Below are 19138 nucleotides of genomic sequence, written 5' to 3' on the forward strand. Positions count from 1 at the left end.
TTAAGATGGTACCTTAATGGCCATCTTAATTTGGTAAATATATCCTGAGTACAAATCACCAGAAGTTTGCTTTAACTGTGATGAATTAGTCATTGACCCAGAGTAGCAGTACTCATTTTGTCTGTGTCTATCCTATTAGCTATTAGCAATTCTGGTTAATAATTTTTTCAAAGTCACTACCTATTTCACCTTTTTACAAATTCGCCTAGAGGTGCAGTTAAACTGTACTCACCTGAATCTGAATAGGAAGATTATCTTTGACTGTATTTAACAGGGTCTCTGTGGGTTTGTCTTTGCACATTAAAACCAGCTCCAAGTCCATATCATCTTTAATCAGCAAGCCTTTTGCAACCAGGCCAATCCTCATTACACCACACAATGTCCGACCACCTTGATCCCTAAAAATAAAAGTCTGCATGATTACTTTCACAACCTATTTCCCAAACTATAACTTAATCATCACTTGGCTTCCTGAATACTCTTACAAACTGATAAGGGAGTATGTAAATCCAGACATCCAAGTATCCACAAAATTAAGCCTCAGATTTGAGGCTTATAAAGTATCTATCTTCCCTCAAGGAGTCAATGGGGAACGTATTTCATACTACAGATCTTGTAATTCTTTACTACATTTATATTGCTTAAGAAAACTCAAAAATACTGTATTCTCTTAAATATTTTTTCAAATTGTTCTTTTAAATTTCCTTCTGGCCAGGTGCAGTGGCTCATGCCTGTAATCCCAACACTTTGGGAGGTCAAGGCAGGAGGATCATTTGAGCCCAGTAGTTCAAGACCAACCTGGGCAACACAGTAACACCCTGTTGCCACAAAAAATGTAAAACAATTAGCCAGGTGTAGTGGCATGCACCTGTAGTGCCAGCTATTCAAGAAGCAATGGAGAGAGGATTGTTTGAGCCCAGGAGGTTGAGGCTGCACTGAACCATGTTTGCACCACTGCACTCCAGCGTGGGTGACAGAATGAGACCCTGTCTCAAAAAATAAAAATAAACTTCCTTCTGTGTTAGTAGTAATTAGGCAATTTGTGAGGAACATGAATACCACTGTATATTGGGAAAGAACATCAGCACAGAAATCTAAAAGACCTGGATTCTACTCGTAGTGCCTGCTGACTCAGTATCCACAACAGTAAAATGACTATTGGCTAGATGAGCTAAAGTTCCTCCCAACTATATCATTCTAAAGTGCCTCCCTTTCTATATCAGCTTATGGGGAAAGCAGAAAAATGTGATAAAAGTATAGAGCTAAGGAAGGAAAGATAAACTGCCAGCATATGCATTCCAAATCCAGGAGTAGCTAAAAGAGCAAACACTCAAAGAAATCAAGTCATAAATGGTGCATAAGAAAGGTGCTCATCTATCCTTGATTTTAATTCTAAAAGTTTCTTATTGGTTCATTTCCCTTAATCACAAATGAAAATAGTAACTAAGTTTAACCGTCTTTCAACAAATAAGCAAGTGTTTGGGTATGGCAAACATATTTACAGGAGTTACAGTCTCTCCTGCTCCTGAGGCTTACTCTGTAGTTAAGCAACAAAAGCAGTAACAGTTTAAGTGCCCTATTTAAAAGGGGAAGAGAAAGTAACATCTGAGCACAAACAGGTGTCACATATTCTCATTTAAATCTCACCACAAGCCTCCATTTGCAAGACAAGAAATGTGAGCCTCAGAAAAGTTAATTGTTCAAGTTCACCAAGAAAGTAAAATGGCAAAGCCTAAATTCAAACCTAAGTTGTTTTGACCACAACATTCAGGTCCCTTACATTATATGATTGCTTCCCAAGTTCAGAAAAGGGAGAGGTCAAAATTAGAGATGTCAAGCAAGGCAAACTGAAAGTCTGACTTCAGCAGAATCTTGATCTACCTAGATGGGAAACAGTCATTCTAGCTATAAGCAAAGAATCAGCAGAGTTGGGCAAGAATCAGCAGAGTTGAGAATAAAATGGAAAGGGAGAAGGAAGAGAAACAAATTGTGGCAGTGGAAACTAGAAAGGAAGATAAATAATCCAGCCATGGGTTCAGTGCCTGGCACACTTATAGAGATTCAATAAACATTAAATCAATGAAAAATGTTAAAGGTGGTATAAATATAGAAATAAAAAGCATTTTAAAGCAGGTGACCAAGTGTAGGCAATTGTCTGATATTAACAATAGAGAATCAGTCATCTTTGATTTCTTCTTCCTCTGTATCCTTGTCCTCTCATTCTTCCAAGTCTAATATTGTAATGGTTTATAAATTATCCCTCTATAATCACCATCAAACTTGCAAACCAGTTTCTTCAGGCTTTTATTACCTCTCACGTAGACCACCTCAATAACCTCCTCCTTACTGGCCTTTCTGACCTCTGTCATCTCCAAAGTACTGTATACAGCAACCAGAATAATCTTCCAAAGGCGCTGATTGGATAACACTCTACCTACTAATTCATTGGTGTCCCACTGAACACTTGGACACTTACCATATTGGAAAGCAATTTAGAAAATGACATCGCTTCCTGGTTCAAATCCTGGCTCTGCTACTTACTGTGTGACATTGGACAAATTTCAAATAACTTGACTTCTTTTGAGCCTGCTTCCTCATTTGTAAAACAGGAATAATACCTTTCTCACAGAGTGGTAGTGAGAATATATGTTAACAAACTTTGGCCAGAGCCCAACAGATATTAACAGCTCAATAAACAACAGTTATTATTCCTTAAACAGTTCTATACTTTCTCATACCTAGATCGGTGCTGAGATTTATTTTTTTCTTTCACTTTCACCACATGCCAAAACCCTACCCCTATCCATCCTCTGAGCCTATTCCAAGTGCTACCTCCTTCATGGAGCTTTTGCAGATTTCCAGAACCAGCACATCATCGTCTCTCCCTGCTCTGTACTTTCACATGTTATTCACAGGAAACTGAAGAATAGATGCTAAGAAAACTGGATCTGGAGTCAGAGAAACTTCAATATGAGTCCTGGTTCAACCACACATATTTACTAAGTAGCCTTAAGCAAGTTAAAGTTTGTTAATGATTCTGAGTCACTCTTTTTTTTATAAGCAAGTTTGGAGCACAGGAAATTTCACAAGTAAAACAGGAGTGGAGAAAGGAAGATAATAATATTAGAGACTGGTAGATTTGCTGCAAGATAGTAGGAAAAGTATGTGGTACAATAGTTGGCACTCAATAAACAGTAGCTGTTATTAGCTCAGTTATTAAATTCTAAACCATAATTATGATATACTTGGTCTTATCAGCCCACAGGTAGAAGACAGCATGATTGAGCAAAAAATCAATTCCTAATTCAAACAGTTCTGAATTTCAATTTAAAAATTGGAACATAGCAGTTATTGTAAAGCAAGCAACCCAATGTATTTGAATTTACTATATGTGAATTTAAAATTAAAAACAGAATTCTAATATTCCTAATAATACATATTGTAGGACCTTGTATAAGTTATTTGACTTTTGAATCCATTTTGAAAAAGGTAAAGCATTAAGTTAAATTAAGACAGCATAGGTAAAAGCTGCCTAACCGTGCCTGGCAATGGAAAATGCTTAATTGCTTAATAAATACAAGCTACCCCCCACCCATCTCTGTGTCCTTCAGAGTGGTTAACACTCACCAGGTGCACAATATATGTTTATTACCAGAACACAACTCTGTCCTTGGAATACATGCCAGCCTCTGATATAAGAATAGAATCTCATTCTGCACTCCTTGAGTTCCACCACATGGGAAGGATCATAGGCAAGGGCTCACCCAGGGACTGTTCCACAAAACGGAAAGACTGTACATAGACAACCAAGAGCATCCACACACAGAAGTATAAAATCCAGGCCTGGCATGGTGGCTCATGTCTGTAATCCCAGCACTTTGGGAGGCCAAGGCAGGATAGCTTGAGGTCAGGAATTCGAGACCAAATTCGGCAATGCAGCAAGACTCTGTCTCTCCAAACGAAATTCTTTTTTTTTAAATTAGCCAGGCATGATGGCACACACTTATAGTCCTAGCTATTCAAGAGGCTGATGTAGGAGGATCACTTGAGCCCAGGAGTTCAAGGCTACAATAAGCTATGATCACACTACTACGCTCCAGCCTGGGCAACAGAGCACCCTATCTCTAAAAAAATAAAAATAAAAATAAAACTTCAAATAAAAGTATGGAGCATATTATCCTGTACAAGTCTTTAAATCACAGACCTCATCCAGTTAAGCAAGTCTATAGGAGTGCTTTCCAAAATATGCCAGGCTTGAGAAGAAACAAAATTAGAAAATGTATTAAAAAGACATAAACTTCACTGAAATGTATACTTACAATTAGTAAAAATAGCAAATCTTATGTTATATATTTTACCACAATAAAAAAATTTTTAACATGACATAAACATGTAGCAAAGTGCAACTTAAATCTGGAATACGTGACTATTTAACTTGCACAGGAGCTGAGATACATATAGAACTAAATAATTAGATAACATTACTAATGAACATGAATTCCAAATCTAACAGTAACATTTGTACAGACATCATATATGAGAAAAATTACACATTTCCAAGAACCTTCAGTGACAAGACCATGACCAGACACAATGTATAAACTGCCTGTAAATAGTTTAAAAAAATTGTGCTCTTCAGCAATAAAACTGACACACTGATTATCTTTGATCTGAAGATAAAAAAAGTTATACTATCTTTCAGTGAAGAAAATCCATTTATCAATACTTTCCTATTATTATTTACTTATCACACTGATTTAAAGTTAAAAGCTGCAAAAATTCTGTAACCTCTTTCACTTACAAATTATAGCCAAAGCAATGTTTTTATTCATAGAGTATAGTCAAATGAGCTCCATCTTTCAAAGTTAGACACTTATTCCAATCATTGTGACAACTGCTCAAAACAGTAACTTTAAGCTTAGCCTGGCATAAAAAGATTAATGACCTAACTCCAGGTACCATTTCAGTTTCACTAATCTATTATTGTCACACTTAGAATATGCTACTATAATTGTTGAGGGGTGTGGGTCCCATTAGATCTTTATCCAATCCACAAATATACAAAGAGCAGTTATGATATGCAAGACACTGCTAAATTCCTGGGAATCAGTGAGGTAGATACAGTCAAAAATACCTTTAAAATACATTTTCCTACACTCTTTCTTCTACACAAGGATTTTTAAATGCCTTACAAAAATGGTATTTTATGATCTCCCCAGAGATCAAAAACACTACTATTTATTTGAAAATTTAGGAGGCTGAATCAACACAGGAAAAAGATCATAACTTTGAAACATAATGATTTTAAAGGACTTGGTGTTCTCTCAAAAGGGATCCTAAGCAGGTCCATTTTCTTTCTCTGGCTCTAATCTTTATTCTTTACTTGCTTTCCTTTCAAATTTAACTCAGAAAATCTCCATGTAACATTTACTTCCTTGGTTATAGTCTCACATATGCATAAGACAAAATCCAAAAAACAGCATAACACACACTCAATCCAGCAGACCTTAGAGCTTTGCTGTGCACTCTAGCACAGCGTCCCAGAGGTCAGTCCACACTCACTTGGAATAGTTTTCTCCGGCCTCATCTTTCTTCACTTCTGTCTCACCCTCTGTTTTTGTGCCTTTATTTGTTTCATCCAACCAATCTGAGACATGTTTAAGAGCACATTCAACAGTAGATACCATATTCTGAACAGCTTCAAGTTCCTCCGGAGATGGATAGATTGTTGAATGTTTCACCATAACATGGCGATCATCATTAGCAAAAGATCGAATAGATCTCTGTTAGAAGGAGAACGAAAACAATTACTTCAACAAAAGAAACATCACCTGAAAAAGATGATATACAACTATATCTTTAGCCAACCCATAGCACTGACTGTCTACTGTGAAACAGTTAATACTGAAACAAGAAAAAACTGCTCCAGCGTGGGAAGTAAAATCCCATTCTACTGAACTCCTCACCAGAAAACAAGAGCTCTTCCATTCATGTTTTGGTAAGGTTCACTTCAGTCACTCTTGGCATTATTTATAAATAATGTTATCCTGGCCAGGCACGGGGGCACATGCCTGTAATCCCAGCACTTTGGGAGACCGAGGTGGGCAGATCACTTGAGGTCAGGAGTTTGAGGCCAGCCTGGCCGACATGGTAAAACCCCGTCTCTACTAAAAATAAAAAAATTAGCTGGGTGTCGTGGCATGCACCTATAGTCCCAGCTACTGAGGAGGCAGAGGTTGCAGTGAGCCGAGATCACACCACTGCATTCCAGCCTGGGCAACAGAGTGAACTCTGTCTCTAAATAAATAAATAAATGAATAAAGTTATCTTTTAGCTGAACCTACACATTCTGAATACTACTTCAACAAATGTCATCCACATCACACATCATCTGCAAGAATTAGATACTTCTTAGCTTCAAGAGAGTCGCAGAAATGCAGGATGGTGAGTGACTCATAAACTGCCAAAGACTTCTAACCTTTCCAAACTGCCAAAGACTTCTAACCTTAGAAAATTGAGATTTCAGGGCTGGGCATGGTGGCTCATGCCTATAATTCCCAGCACTTTGGGAGGCTGAGGTGGGAGGATCGCTTGAAGGCCAGAAGTTGGAGACCAGCCTGGGTAATGTAGCAAGATCCAATCTCTCCAAAACATAAAAAAAATTAGCCGGACGTGGTAGCAGGTGCCTATAGTCCTAGCCACTCAGGAGGCTGAGGCAGGAGGATCCTTAGAGCCCAGGAGTTCGAGGTTAAGTGAGCTACCACTATGTCACTGCACTCCAACCTGGGCAACAGAGTAAGACCCAGGTCTCTATTTAAATTTTAGAATTTAGGATTTCATAATATAGAATAATACGAAATAAAAAGTTATCTGTGAACACTATAAGAAAACTATAAAAAACATTAAAATAGTGTTCACTATTTGACATTCAAACCTTTGGTGCAAGGCCTTTAATTTTTTAAATAGACTAGTGGGAGACATTCCAAATGCAGAGTGGGAAAAATACATACTGCAAAATGACAAGCTAATTTACAAATATATTCTCAATCAAAATCTCCTCAGGATTGATTTACTTAAATCTCAACAAAAATCATTTTAAAGCTCATTTGGGGAAAAACATAAATAAGGGTATCAAGAAATACTCTACAAAGATCGAAGGGTGGTACCACTAACTAAAATGAAATATCAGATCAGTGGAACAGACCAGAACCCAGAAAATGAATGAATTTCATGAAAATTTAACAGAGTAGATTCTATACACTCATGAGTCACACATCCAAAAACCTTTAAATTTTTCCAAATTTACAAATATCACGAAGACACTTATACCAATACACAGCAAAATGAACAAGGATAACTTAGTGAGTTTTCCATAAAGCCTAAAATATTCCATTTAAAAGCTGGTTATACTGTCTTTACTTACATGAAATTATATGTTAGTACATGGTAAATATTTTGTTTTGAAGTCCATCGCAAACTAAAACATTCTCAATTTTTTATGAACAGTCTTGCCTCTTTTGTTCTTGTTTATCTATGTTTAAAAATCACATTATTTTTGGATAACAGTAAATTAACACTATAGTGTCACTGTCCTCTATAAAGCAAAGAAAACTTTGGTTGAAAAGGTAATCATTTGAAAACCTCTATCATTATATAAAAACAGAGCTAAAATAGATTACAAAGCTTTTCTTTTTCTCAATAAAAATCATCTGTCTAGATGTCTTTCTTGCTCAACATCCACAACCAGTTTTCCAACTGGTGCAGTTTGCCACAAAGAAACAAATTTTTTAAACACTTAGTGAGACATATTCATCTATCCCAAAGTAAGTACTAGAGAACAAAAGAGCCATAGAGTTGGAAATGCTAGGCTGTTAGCTAGGCTCATGTACTTGCTAAATTACCTAGTCCTGCACACCGGCCACACCTGAGCAAAACTGCGTATTGCTACATTACATAAACATTTGTCATTTATCACACAAATAATACAGACTGCCAATGTTAAATCTAAAAATGTTACATCTAACATTCTACTGGATGTGACAGAATAAGCACCATGAAACAACAGTGACAGGCCAGGCACGGTGGCTCATGCCTGTAATCCCAGCACTTTGGGAGGCCAAGGCAGGCGGATCACCTGAGGTCGGCAGTTCGAGACCAGTCTGACCAACATGAAGAAACCTCGTCTCTACTAAAAATATAAATTTAGCCAGGCATGGTGGTTGGTGCATGCCTGTAATCCCAGCTACTTGGGAGGCTGAGGCAGGAGAATTGCTTGAACCCAGGAGGCGGAGGTTGCAGTGAGCTGAGATCACACAATTGCACTCCAGCCTCAGCAACAAGAGCAAAACTTCGTCTCAAAAAAAAAAAAAAAAAAAAAAAAAAAAAAAAAAAAGAAACAGTAACAGGAAAAATTGAAGAAATGCAGAGAAATCTTATTTACTCAAATAAGCTCTAAACAGATTTTCTTTAAGTATTGAAAAAATAAATCAGACTGGGCACAGTGGCTCACGCCTGTAATCCCAACACTTTGGCTCACGAGGAGGGTGGATCATCAGAGGTCAGGAGTTCAAGACCAGCCTGGCCAACATGGTGAAACCCTATCTCTACTAAAAATACAAAAATTAGCCAGGTATGGTGGTACACCCCTACAGTCCCAGCTACTCAGGAGGCTGAGGCAGAAGAATTACTTGAACCCGGGACACAGAGGTTGCAGTGAGCTGAGATCGTGCCATTGCACTCCAGCCTGGGCAACAGAGTGAGACTCCGTTTCTTTAAAAAAAAAAAAAAAAAAAAAAAAAAAAAAAGACAAAAAATTAAATCAGAAGAACCATGCAGAAAGAGAAAATTCTCATTGCAATCTGAGATCTAAAAAGCAAGTAATAAGAGAAACCAGAAAATACTCATCAATTAAATTATATAAAAACACAAAATTTATACACCAGAAAATCTAAGCTGAATTTAAAAAGAATAAACTAAGGAAGACATCTTCATCCACTCTGAAAAATAATAAAGCATTTCTTTTAGTTGTAAGAATATCAAGACTATAAGAAATGAGCGGAATGAGAGGTAAATAATTCACATGGTAAGATATAAAAGAATCAGTGTGGTTTTTTCACATTTCACCACATAACTAAAATGACAGGGAAAATCCCAAGTTAACATTTGTTCCCACAATCTAGATCTAAAATATCAGAATTTCTTCTCTAAGGAGTCAGCTGATTAAGTTATAATCCTTGGCACAAATATTTTTAAAAGCAAGTAACATTTAAAGAAACATCACCAGGCTGGGCACGGTGCCTCACGCCTATAATCCCAGCACTTTGGAAGGCTAAGGCAGCAGCAGGGTTCCTTGAGCCAAGGCGTTCCAGACCAGCCTGGGCAACAAAGCAAAACCCTGTCTCTACAAAAAATTTAAAAATTTGCCAGATGTGGTGGCATGCGCCTATAAGGCCAAGCTACTTGGGAGGCTTGAGGCAGGAAGATCCTTTGAGCCCAAGGAGTTGGAGTTTGCAGTGAGCTATGATCATGTCACTGCACTCCAGCCTGGAGGACAGAGCAAGATCCTGTCTCAAAAAAAAAAAAAAAAAAAAAAAACAAAAAATCAAAAAAATCACCACCAACAGACCGGCTAAACAACATATTCCAAATAATCATACTGGTGATTAATATTTTCTGCTTTTTCTCTCACTGGTAATGTGTTTTTAAAATCTTGGCCAGGCACGGTGGCTGATGCTTGTAATCCCAGCACTTTGGGAGGCTGAGGTGGGTGGATCACCTGAGGTCAGTTTGAGACCAACCTGGCCAACATGGCGAAACCCCGTCTCTACTAAAAATAAAAAAAATTAGCTGGGTATGGTGGCGGGCACCTATAATCCCAGCTACTCGGGAGGCTAAGGCAGGGAGAATTGCTTGAACCTGGGAGACGGAGGTTGCAGTGAGCCGAGATTGCGCCATTGCATTCCAGCCCGGGCAACAGGGTGAGACTCCGTCTTTAAAAAAAAAAAAGAAACCTTTTCTCGCTTATACTTAGGAGAAAAAAAATTCATATAACACCCTCCAGAACTCATAATACTAAGGGAAAAAAAATCAGCACATTTTACCAATTAAAAGCCTAGGCACCAGAGACTATGAGCTCATCTAACATCACAAATTCAATTTAAGTCTGAACTCTTCCCAAAAAGCAAGGTTTCTTTGATTCTCAATTCAGTGCCCCTACTATACTCAGCACTTGACCCTATTATTTTAAAAGTATGAAAAAGAGGTGGCTTTTTCAGTTAAACATTCACACATATTATAAACTTCTACATCATTCATATCACTAATTAAAGGACTGGTTCAGAATTTTTAATTTCCACAAGAAAAAAAACTGAACTTAAAGTTAAAAACCTAGCTATTTGTATCAGTTTGCTAATGCCAGTTTTATTAGAAAATATTATTTATGAGCATTTCCTCCTTTGTTTTAATAATTCATGGCCTACAGGCTCATGAGGCCCTACCTTGTGGTTTACATAGCTTGTAGTAAATCTGAATTCATTCGCTTTGAATAGTAGAGTGCCATCTTTATATGACACACTAAAGCCAAAAATTAACACCACTGTTTTTCATTTGCCCTCACTGTTAACATTTCTAATTTTAAATTACTGGAGTCTTTTGTAACTAAATTATGAAAATATCCACAATAACCTACCATGGTTTTCTATAGTATTTTAGCTTCTTTTTCCGATCCTTTCCCCTCTTTCTTGTCGTCTTCACTAGACACTGTTTTGTGTAACAATACCTCCTCATAAGCCTGAGTCCCCTGACAGCTCAGCGTCAATATAGCAAATGTCTGAAGGCTTGTTCTCTGGAACACACCTGCAAGAGAAGAGGAAAACAACTTCAAAAATGCTTATTTACTATTAGCTTCCAATATGAGTGTGCAACCCATAAACATGTTCCTGATTAAAAAGAAATAAACTCAATAGAGGAAAATTCCCTCAGTTCAAACAAAAAGCTAACACATCTTTTGAAGGCCTGGGCCCAGGAGCCTAGGTGATATGGCCAGAAAAGTAAGCCTCCTGTAGCTACAATGTGGCAGCTGGCTGACTAGCACTCAATGAGATAAATACATTTGCAAAGAGATTCAGTCAAGAAGCACCACCTGAAAGAGTAATACTACCACTGATGGCAACAAGTTGCAGTTAACCATTAGATTTTCAATCAGAAATTGGCATTACTCAGACCCATCTGAAAATTCAGTAAAGACACCTGAAAATACAACAATACCAATGATTATTCCATGATGCTTTTACATTGGATACTGCCATTAAAGAGTACATGTTGGCACAATGTTTGTTCTTTAATTTTTTTCAGCCTAAAATTCAGAATGCTTTTTTGGCTCTACTTCCTAACTCCCAAAAGGCCCTATTTGTCCCTGGGCCTGTATGCACTGCTATGCCAGACTCCTGAATATTCACTAGATCCTGACTTCATTACCCCTGGATGTCCCTCACCAGATTTCCACAGTATTATTTCTATCCAGAGTCCTAATCATTGTTACTTATTTTGTTCCACCTTTATGAGATTTTATTCCAGACATAGTAAAAGTAAACTTTTCTGAGCACTGATGAAACACTTATATTATAAACCTAGCTACAAGAAAAGGAGAAAAAAATTAAAAAAAAAAACCAGAACATCAAAATACAGCACATGCTTTAACTATGTGGCTATAAGAGGACATAATTTACATACCATATATCGTATAAACTCACAAAGAAAATAACTTTCTCTTCATTTAAATATCTTTCCTTTAATAAGGAAACACCCTATTGTCAGTAACAGTTTCTTAATATTAGCAGTTAGGCCAAGTGAGGTGACTCATGCCTGTAATCCCAATGCTTTGGGAGGCCAAGACGGGAGGATTGCTTGAAGCCAGAAGTTCGAGACCAGACTGGGCAACAGAGCGATACCCTATCTCTTTAAAAAAATGATACTATTTAACAGAAGAGATTCTAATAAATGGGACTTACTTTATTATTACTCATATCGCATTAAGGAAGGAATGCATAAGTGCTGCAATTCATGGGATCCTTTTGGACAACCAAAAAACAGGGATCAAAATATGATCCCACAGTAAGAGATATCTCAAAAATGCTCCATCTAAGTAACATAATACTAAATACAATACTAAAATTTTACCTTTCCTATAAATACCTTACTATATAACCAAAGTCTTCAGCATCTCCCATTCCCAACCCTACTCCATTCTAAGGGATTCGGCTAGTCACTATTTAGCTGTGAATCCAGCAGCCAAAAACGATTGCTATGTGTTCAGTCAACAAGTGAAACAAAGTACACAAGCTTTCTTTATATTAGTGAAGCCAGTTCTAGACCATCCTGGCTAACATGGTGAAACTAACAATACAAATTAACAATACAAAAACTAAAAATGCAAAAAAATTAGCCGGGCATGGTGGCGGGTGCCTGTAGTCCCAGCTACTCGGGAGGCTGAGGCAGGAGAATGGCGTGAACCCGGGAGGCAGAGCTTGCAGTCAGCCAAGATCACGCCACTACACTCCAGCCTGGGCGAAAAAGCAAGACTCCGTCTCAAAAAAAAAAAAAAAAAAATGTGGAGCCAGCCAGGCATGGTGGCTCGCGCCTGTAATCCCAGCACTTTGGAAGGCTGAGGCCAGGAGGATCACTTGAGCCTAGGAGTTTAAGACCAGCCTGGGCAACACAGTGAGACCCCATCTCTACCAAAAAAATTAACAACAAATTAGGTGGGCATAGTGGCACATGCCTGTAGTCCCAGCTGCTCAGGAGGCTGAGGTGGAATGATCACTTGAGCCCAGTAGGGTGGGGCTGCAGTGAGCCATGAACACACCACTGCCCTCCAGCCTGAGCAACAGAGCAAGACCCTGGTCTCAAAATAATTGAATAGATTGAAGGCAGAAAAGGAAGAACAATGCTATGAAATAGCTTCAGATGTAGTGGAAAAATCATGGATCACCAATATGAAAAGTACAGCACTCCACAGTCATTTAGCATGGGGGGTAACTACCCTACCATCAAGAACCTCTGGGAACTTCAGAGTATGATAGCATAGTGCAATAACTCATGAAAAAAAAACTGTATCTCTATTCACTGTATATTCACTGTATGTTCTATTGGTGCTATAAAACAAACTTAAAAATCATCTGACCAACTCTACCCTCATTTTAAAAATGAAACAGAATCAGCAAACAAGGGACAAGACATGGTCTGAAACCTAAATTACAGACCAATGCTTTTTCCCCAATATTTATCAATCTGATTGAGAAAAAAGCCAAATTTATAATATGTCTGATTTACTCTAAACTGAAATGGAGAAACTACAATAGCTTTTAAGAGTTTTTCTTTTTTTAAAAAAAAAAAAAAAAAAGGTCAACCTAGTGGATAAAATTCTGGTCTTAAAATTTTTTTAAAAACTAACTTTGCTAGTTAATAGCTATATGACCTTAGAAGTTATGTGACTCAAAGAGTCACTTAATTTCCTTGGGTCTCTGTTTCCTTTCTTAATAAAATGAGAAATAATTCCACTACTAATTAGTAGATAACATGTATGTAGCTCAGACTTTGTACTCACTGTTCCTAAGACTTTTCATATATTAACTCAAGCCTCCCAACAATCTCAATTACTGTCTCCAATTAACACATAAGGAAACTAAAGCATAAACAGATAACACAACCTAAGTAAGACCATAAAGTAAACAGTAGAGCCAAGATTCATATCTAGACAATCCTCTTTAATACTGTTTTGGCTCTAAAGGACTTACATTTCCTATAGAGGACAAACTTCAGCTATTTAAAAAAAAAAAAAAAAAGTCTATGTGACCATAGAACACACAGGCTTTGGAGTCAAGTACCAGCTTTGTCACTTCCCTTATCTGAGCCAGAGTTTTCTCACCCATGAAATGGGCTGACTAGTATCTACTCCAAACTAAATGGACAGGTTATATAAAAATACCTAATAATATCTTACAAATAGTATACACCCAATAAATGGTTTCGGGAAAAAAACACACCTCAAATTTCCTAATGTCAAATAGAAACATTTTGTTTATACATCAGATGTATGTAAATTTCTCTGAAAAACTAAGCCTAGAAAAATATTAACTATGCACTCCTTAGAACAGCTTACGCAGAAGGTGGCATTATATATAAAGGAATGTGTGTCACTTTTTAATTGAGCACTTTTTTCAATTAATGGACATTATTTTCTAGAGCAGCTTTAGGTTTATAGAAAAGTTGAGTGGAAAGTGGAAAGAACTCCCATATACCTCTTCTCCCCACCACCCACCACACACCACCCACCACCCACCACACATAGTTTCTCCTATTCTTGACATATTACCTTAGTGTGGTACATTTGTTACCACTGATAAACCAATGTTGATACATTATTATTAACTAAAGTTCATAGTTTACATTAGGGTTCACTCTTTGCATTGTACATTCTATGGATTTTTACAAATGACATGCATTCACCATTACAGTATCATACAAAATAGTTTTAGTTTAACACCCCTGAAAATCCCCTATGCTCCACCTATTTGACCTTCCCACCTTCCCCACCCCCAAGCCCTTAGTAACCACTAAGTTTTTTCAGTCTATAATTTTGCCTTTTCAAGAATGTCATATAGTTGGAATAATATATCATATGTAGCCTTTTGAGACTAGCTTCTTTCACTTAGCAATATGCATTTAAGGTTTCTCCATCTTTTCATGGATTGATAGCTCATTTCTTTTTATTGCTGAATAATATTCTGTTGTATGGATATACCACAATTTATCCATTCAACTACTGAAGGACATCTTGATTGATTCCAAATTTTGGCAATTATGAATAAATTCCCAAAAACTTATTTTCAAAGTTTTTGGGTAAATCTCAAGACTAGGCCAGGTGCGGTGGCTCACGTCTGTTAATCCCAGCAGTCTGGGAGCCCGAGGCAGGCGGATCACAAGGTCAGAAGATCGAGACCATCCTGGCTAACACGGTGAAACCTTGTCTCCACTAAAAAATACAAAAAATTGGCCAGGCATGGTGGTGGGCGCCTGTAGTCCCAGCTACTCGGGAGGCTGAGGCAGGAGAATGGCGTGAACCCAGGAGGCGAAGCTTGCAGTGAGCTGAGATCATGCAACTGCACTCCAGCCTGAGTGACAGAGTGAGACTCCATCTCAAAAATAAAAATAAAAATCTCAAAACCAACAAACAACTATGCTATCTATATTCAAACTATGAAACTTAAATATTTAGGGATTTTTTTTCCTGAAATGCAATAGAGAGAATATAAAAATACTTTCTTTAAAAATCCCAAGTAATGTTTTGCAAACAGTTTGTTATGGAATCCAGTAAATTTACTCTCAAAACAGTAACTGACTAGGAAACCTTCAATTTTGTTAATACTAATATAAGCCACCTAAAACAAGCTATGTAAAAATAAACAGGCTTTATTTCATTATGAAAGAACCACCGCACATCTACAATATTAAATATGGGCAAGAAAAAATTAGAAAAAGACACCTCACTGCCTCTCCCAGAAGATCACATTAAGATAAACTATGTGAGATTCAATAGCAAAGACTTGGAACCAACCTGAATGTCCAACAATGATAGACTGGATTAAGAAAATGTGGCACATATACACCATGGAATACTATGCAGCCATAAAAAATGATGAGCTCATGTCCTTTGCAGGGACATGGATGAAGCTGGAAACCATCATTCTCAGCAAACTATCGCAAGGACAGAAAACCAAACACCGCATGTTCTCACTCATAGGTGGGAATTGAACAATGAGAACACATGGACACAGGAAGGGGAACATCACATACCAGGGCCTGTTGTGGGGTGGGGGGAGGGTGGGGAGGGATAACATTAGGAGATATACCTAATGTTAAATGACAAGTTAATGGGTGCAGCACACCAACATGGCACATGTATACATATGTAACTAACCTGCACGTTGTGCACATGTACCCTAAAACTTGAAGTATAATAATAATAAAAAAAAAGAAAATGTGGCACGTATACACCATGGAATACTATGCAGCCATAAAAAAGGATAAGTTCATGTCCTTTGTAGGAATATGGATGAAGCTGGAAACCATCATTCTCAGTAAACTATCACAAGGACAGAAAACCAAACACTGCATGTCCTCACTCATAGGTGGGAATTGAACAATGAGAACTCTTGGACATAGGGCAGGGAACATCACACACCCAGGGCCTGTCGTGGGGTGGGGGGCTGGGGGAGGGATAGCATTAGGAGAAATACCTAATGTAAATGATGAGTTGATGGGTGCAGCAAACCAACATGACACATGTATACCTATGTATCAAACCTGCACGTTGTGCACATGTACCAGAGAACTTAAAGTATAATAAAAATAAATAAAAATTTAAAAAAAGAAAAAAAGATAAATTATGTGAGATTTACAAGTAAATATATATTTATTAATTGCCTATTAATTTGTATGTATATGCTTGGTAGCATGGAGAATACAAAGATGAATCAACTCAGAACACACTAAGGGGCCAGGTGCGGTGGCTCACACCTGTAATCCCAGCACTTTGGGAGGCAGAGATGGGTGGATCACTTGAGGTCAGGAGTTCAAGGCCAGCCTGGCCAACATGGTGAAATCTTGTCTCTACTAAAAATACAAAAATCAGCCAAACGTGGTGGCACATGCCTGTAATCTCAGCCACTCGGGAGACTGAGGCAGAAGAATCACTTGAACCCAGGAGGCAGAAGTTGCAGTGAGCCAAGATCGTGCCACTGCACTCCACCCTGGGCAACGGAGTGAGACTCCATCTCAGAAAGAAAAAAAAAAAAAAAGAACACACTAAGGAAAGTAAGAGCAAATACATATAAATCCAATACTCTCCCCAAATCCCTTCAAATAAATTCAACTTTCTCTACATGGTGGCATTATTTCTATGCAATAGTAATGTGAAAAGAACACTGAATTTCAATATTTTCTTCTGGAAGCTTCTTTTTCATGTAAAAAAAAAAGGCACGTGCAAGAAGGTTAAACCTATCAATTACTTATCAATAGCTAATATAAAATCCTCACCTAGTTCCAAATTCCGGCTATTCCTCCTTACCCAAAAACACCTATAACGATGGAAAAGCTCTATTCTACCATATCACTTGAAGGCTTGCAATAATGGGCAGAGGCCGAAAGGTCTTTTCTCAATTAACGGTATGTACAAAGAAGATGCGACGGCTATAATCTGAACCTAAAATATACTGAATGAGCCAGCTAAGTCGAACCAGAATGAGATTCCTGAATATTTACTGTCAGTGAGCAAAATGGAAAAGCTCTTATTGAATAACCAATCAAAAGAGTGGATAACAGAAAAACACATCCCTTTGCTAAAAGAGGCAGTTATTAGCCCTTCCCAATCACTGGTGCCTTATGTGACAAAACAACATTCAGCCAGACAGATGACTCACTTGTTGAAAGAACCAAAAATTCAATGCATTTCAACAAGTATTTACCGAACACCTGTAATATCCCAGGCACTGTCCTAGGCACTTTGGCTACCAACAGTGAACAAAACAGACAAAAATCCTTGCCCTTGTGGTTTAAGTCCAGAAGAGGGAAATAATCAAAAGACAATAAATATAAAAATAAGAAAATTTAGCAGTACGTTAGAAGGTGTGAAATGCTTGGAAAAGAGAGGAAGCAAGTTGAGGAGGCAACAGAGTAAGCACACACAGATAATACATGGAGAGGGAGTGCCATTTTAACAGATAGTCAAGGGTTCACTGCAAAGGTGGCACCTAAGCAAAGACTTGATGGGGTTAACAGCCATGCAGATGTCTATGAATTGAGCACTTCTGGCAGGGGAGTTAAAGCAGTGGTCCTAAGGAAGGGCGTGCCTGCGTTCAGTGGAAGAATAATAATGAGTCCAAAGTGGCTGCAGTGAGGTGGGGGAGAGAGGAGGGCCGAGAGGACAGAAAGGTGGGGGTGAGGGGATCAGACCATATATGGCAGAGGCTGGCAAACTTTTTCTTTAAAGTGCCAGATAGTAAATACATCAGGCTTTTCATGCCATAAGGTCTCTACTACTCAACTCTGCCTTTGTGGTGCAAATGTAGCCATACATGATATGCAAACAAATGGGTGTGGCTCTGTTCCAATAAAACTTAATTACGGACACTGAAATTTGAATTACATGTAATTTTCACATCAAAAAATATCAATTTTTGATATTTTTTAACCACTTAAAAGTATAAAAACCATTCTTAGCTCACTGGTCATATAAAAACAGGCAATGGGCCAAATTTGGTCATGGGTCAGTTTGTCAAGTCCTAATTTAGGGCCCTTCTGGTCACTTTGAAGACTGTAGCTTTTACTCTGAGATGGGGAGCCCTTAGAAGGTTTTCAGCACAGAATGACAACATCTAAGTCATATCTTTAAAAGATCACTATGGTTACTTGTTGAAAACACTGTATAAGAGTGGAAGGAAGGAGGCCACTTAAGGAGGTTTAGTGATCATATTCTGGATATATTTTGAAGGTAAAAGCCACAGCATTTCGAATAGATTGGATGTGGGGTGTGAAGGAACTGGAGGCATCAGGATTGACTTTAAGGTTATTGGCCTGAGCAACTCAGTTAAGGAAGGTGCCAGGGAGAGGAGGTTTTGGGAATAAGATCAGAAATTCAGCTTTGGACATGCTGACATTGAATTTGAGTTATTTATTAGACATCTAAGAAGGCAGCTGGATATGGACCTAGTGTTCAGCAGAGAGGTCTGGATTAGGATATAAATTTGGGAGTTTTCAGTAGTTTGGTATGTGAAGCCACAAAATGGCCAAGGGAGTGGGTGTACCAATGAATACAAAAAAAGCAAAAGGAGAAGAACAACTATACTCAAAGAAGGAATAACCTGAGAGATGGCAGGAAAATGAGACTGTGCTATTTGGAAAGTCAACAAAAGAAAAATTACAAAGGAGGCAAGATGTCTAAATTAAACTCAAACAAAGGGCTGGGTGCAGTGACACAGGCCTATAGTCCGTCGGGAGGCTGAAGTAGGAGGATCATTTGAGCTCAGGGGAGGGTCATTTGAGCTCAGAAGTTCATGCCTAGCCTAGCCAACATACAGAGACC

At 38.0% G+C, this 19138-nt stretch overlaps 1 protein-coding gene across 11 annotated transcripts in view, besides 2 other annotated features; it reads right to left on the reverse strand.

The window, feature by feature from the left end:
- Positions 1–19138, reverse strand: part of STRBP (spermatid perinuclear RNA binding protein) — a 159093-nt gene that overhangs the window by 63951 nt on the left and 76004 nt on the right. For 8 of the 11 annotated variants that reach the window (XR_007061327.1, XR_007061326.1, NM_001376109.1 and 5 more), the window contains 3 exons: positions 10688–10854; positions 5563–5783; positions 233–398 (listed from right to left, as the gene is read on the reverse strand). Coding sequence is in view for 7 of the 11 variants with exons in the window: in NM_001376109.1 (NP_001363038.1) it covers positions 233–398; positions 5563–5783; positions 10688–10690 (390 nt within the window). In the remaining 4 variants the exon portion in view is untranslated. Of the gene's footprint in view, positions 1–232; positions 399–5562; positions 5784–7423; positions 7532–10687; positions 10855–19138 lie in introns of those variants that run through there. The other 3 variants (NM_001171137.2, XR_001746347.2, NR_033234.2) reach the window with 3 other exon arrangements.
- Positions 1350–2061: an enhancer, noted in NCBI's record as "OCT4-NANOG hESC enhancer chr9:125937073-125937784 (GRCh37/hg19 assembly coordinates)". NCBI's record gives its function as "activates a minimal SCP1, AML or CMV promoter by ChIP-STARR-seq in primed H9 embryonic stem cells {active_cell/tissue: H9 hESC(primed)}" and the evidence as "EXISTENCE:reporter gene assay evidence [ECO:0000049][PMID:30033119]".
- Positions 2782–2841: an enhancer, noted in NCBI's record as "active region_28933". NCBI's record gives its function as "activates an Ori minimal core promoter by ATAC-STARR-seq in GM12878 lymphoblastoid cells {active_cell/tissue: GM12878}" and the evidence as "EXISTENCE:reporter gene assay evidence [ECO:0000049][PMID:35858748]".

Source organism: Homo sapiens, chromosome 9 (genome assembly GCF_000001405.40).
Source record: "Homo sapiens chromosome 9, GRCh38.p14 Primary Assembly".
In the NCBI taxonomy this organism is placed as follows: Eukaryota; Metazoa; Chordata; class Mammalia; order Primates; family Hominidae; genus Homo; species Homo sapiens.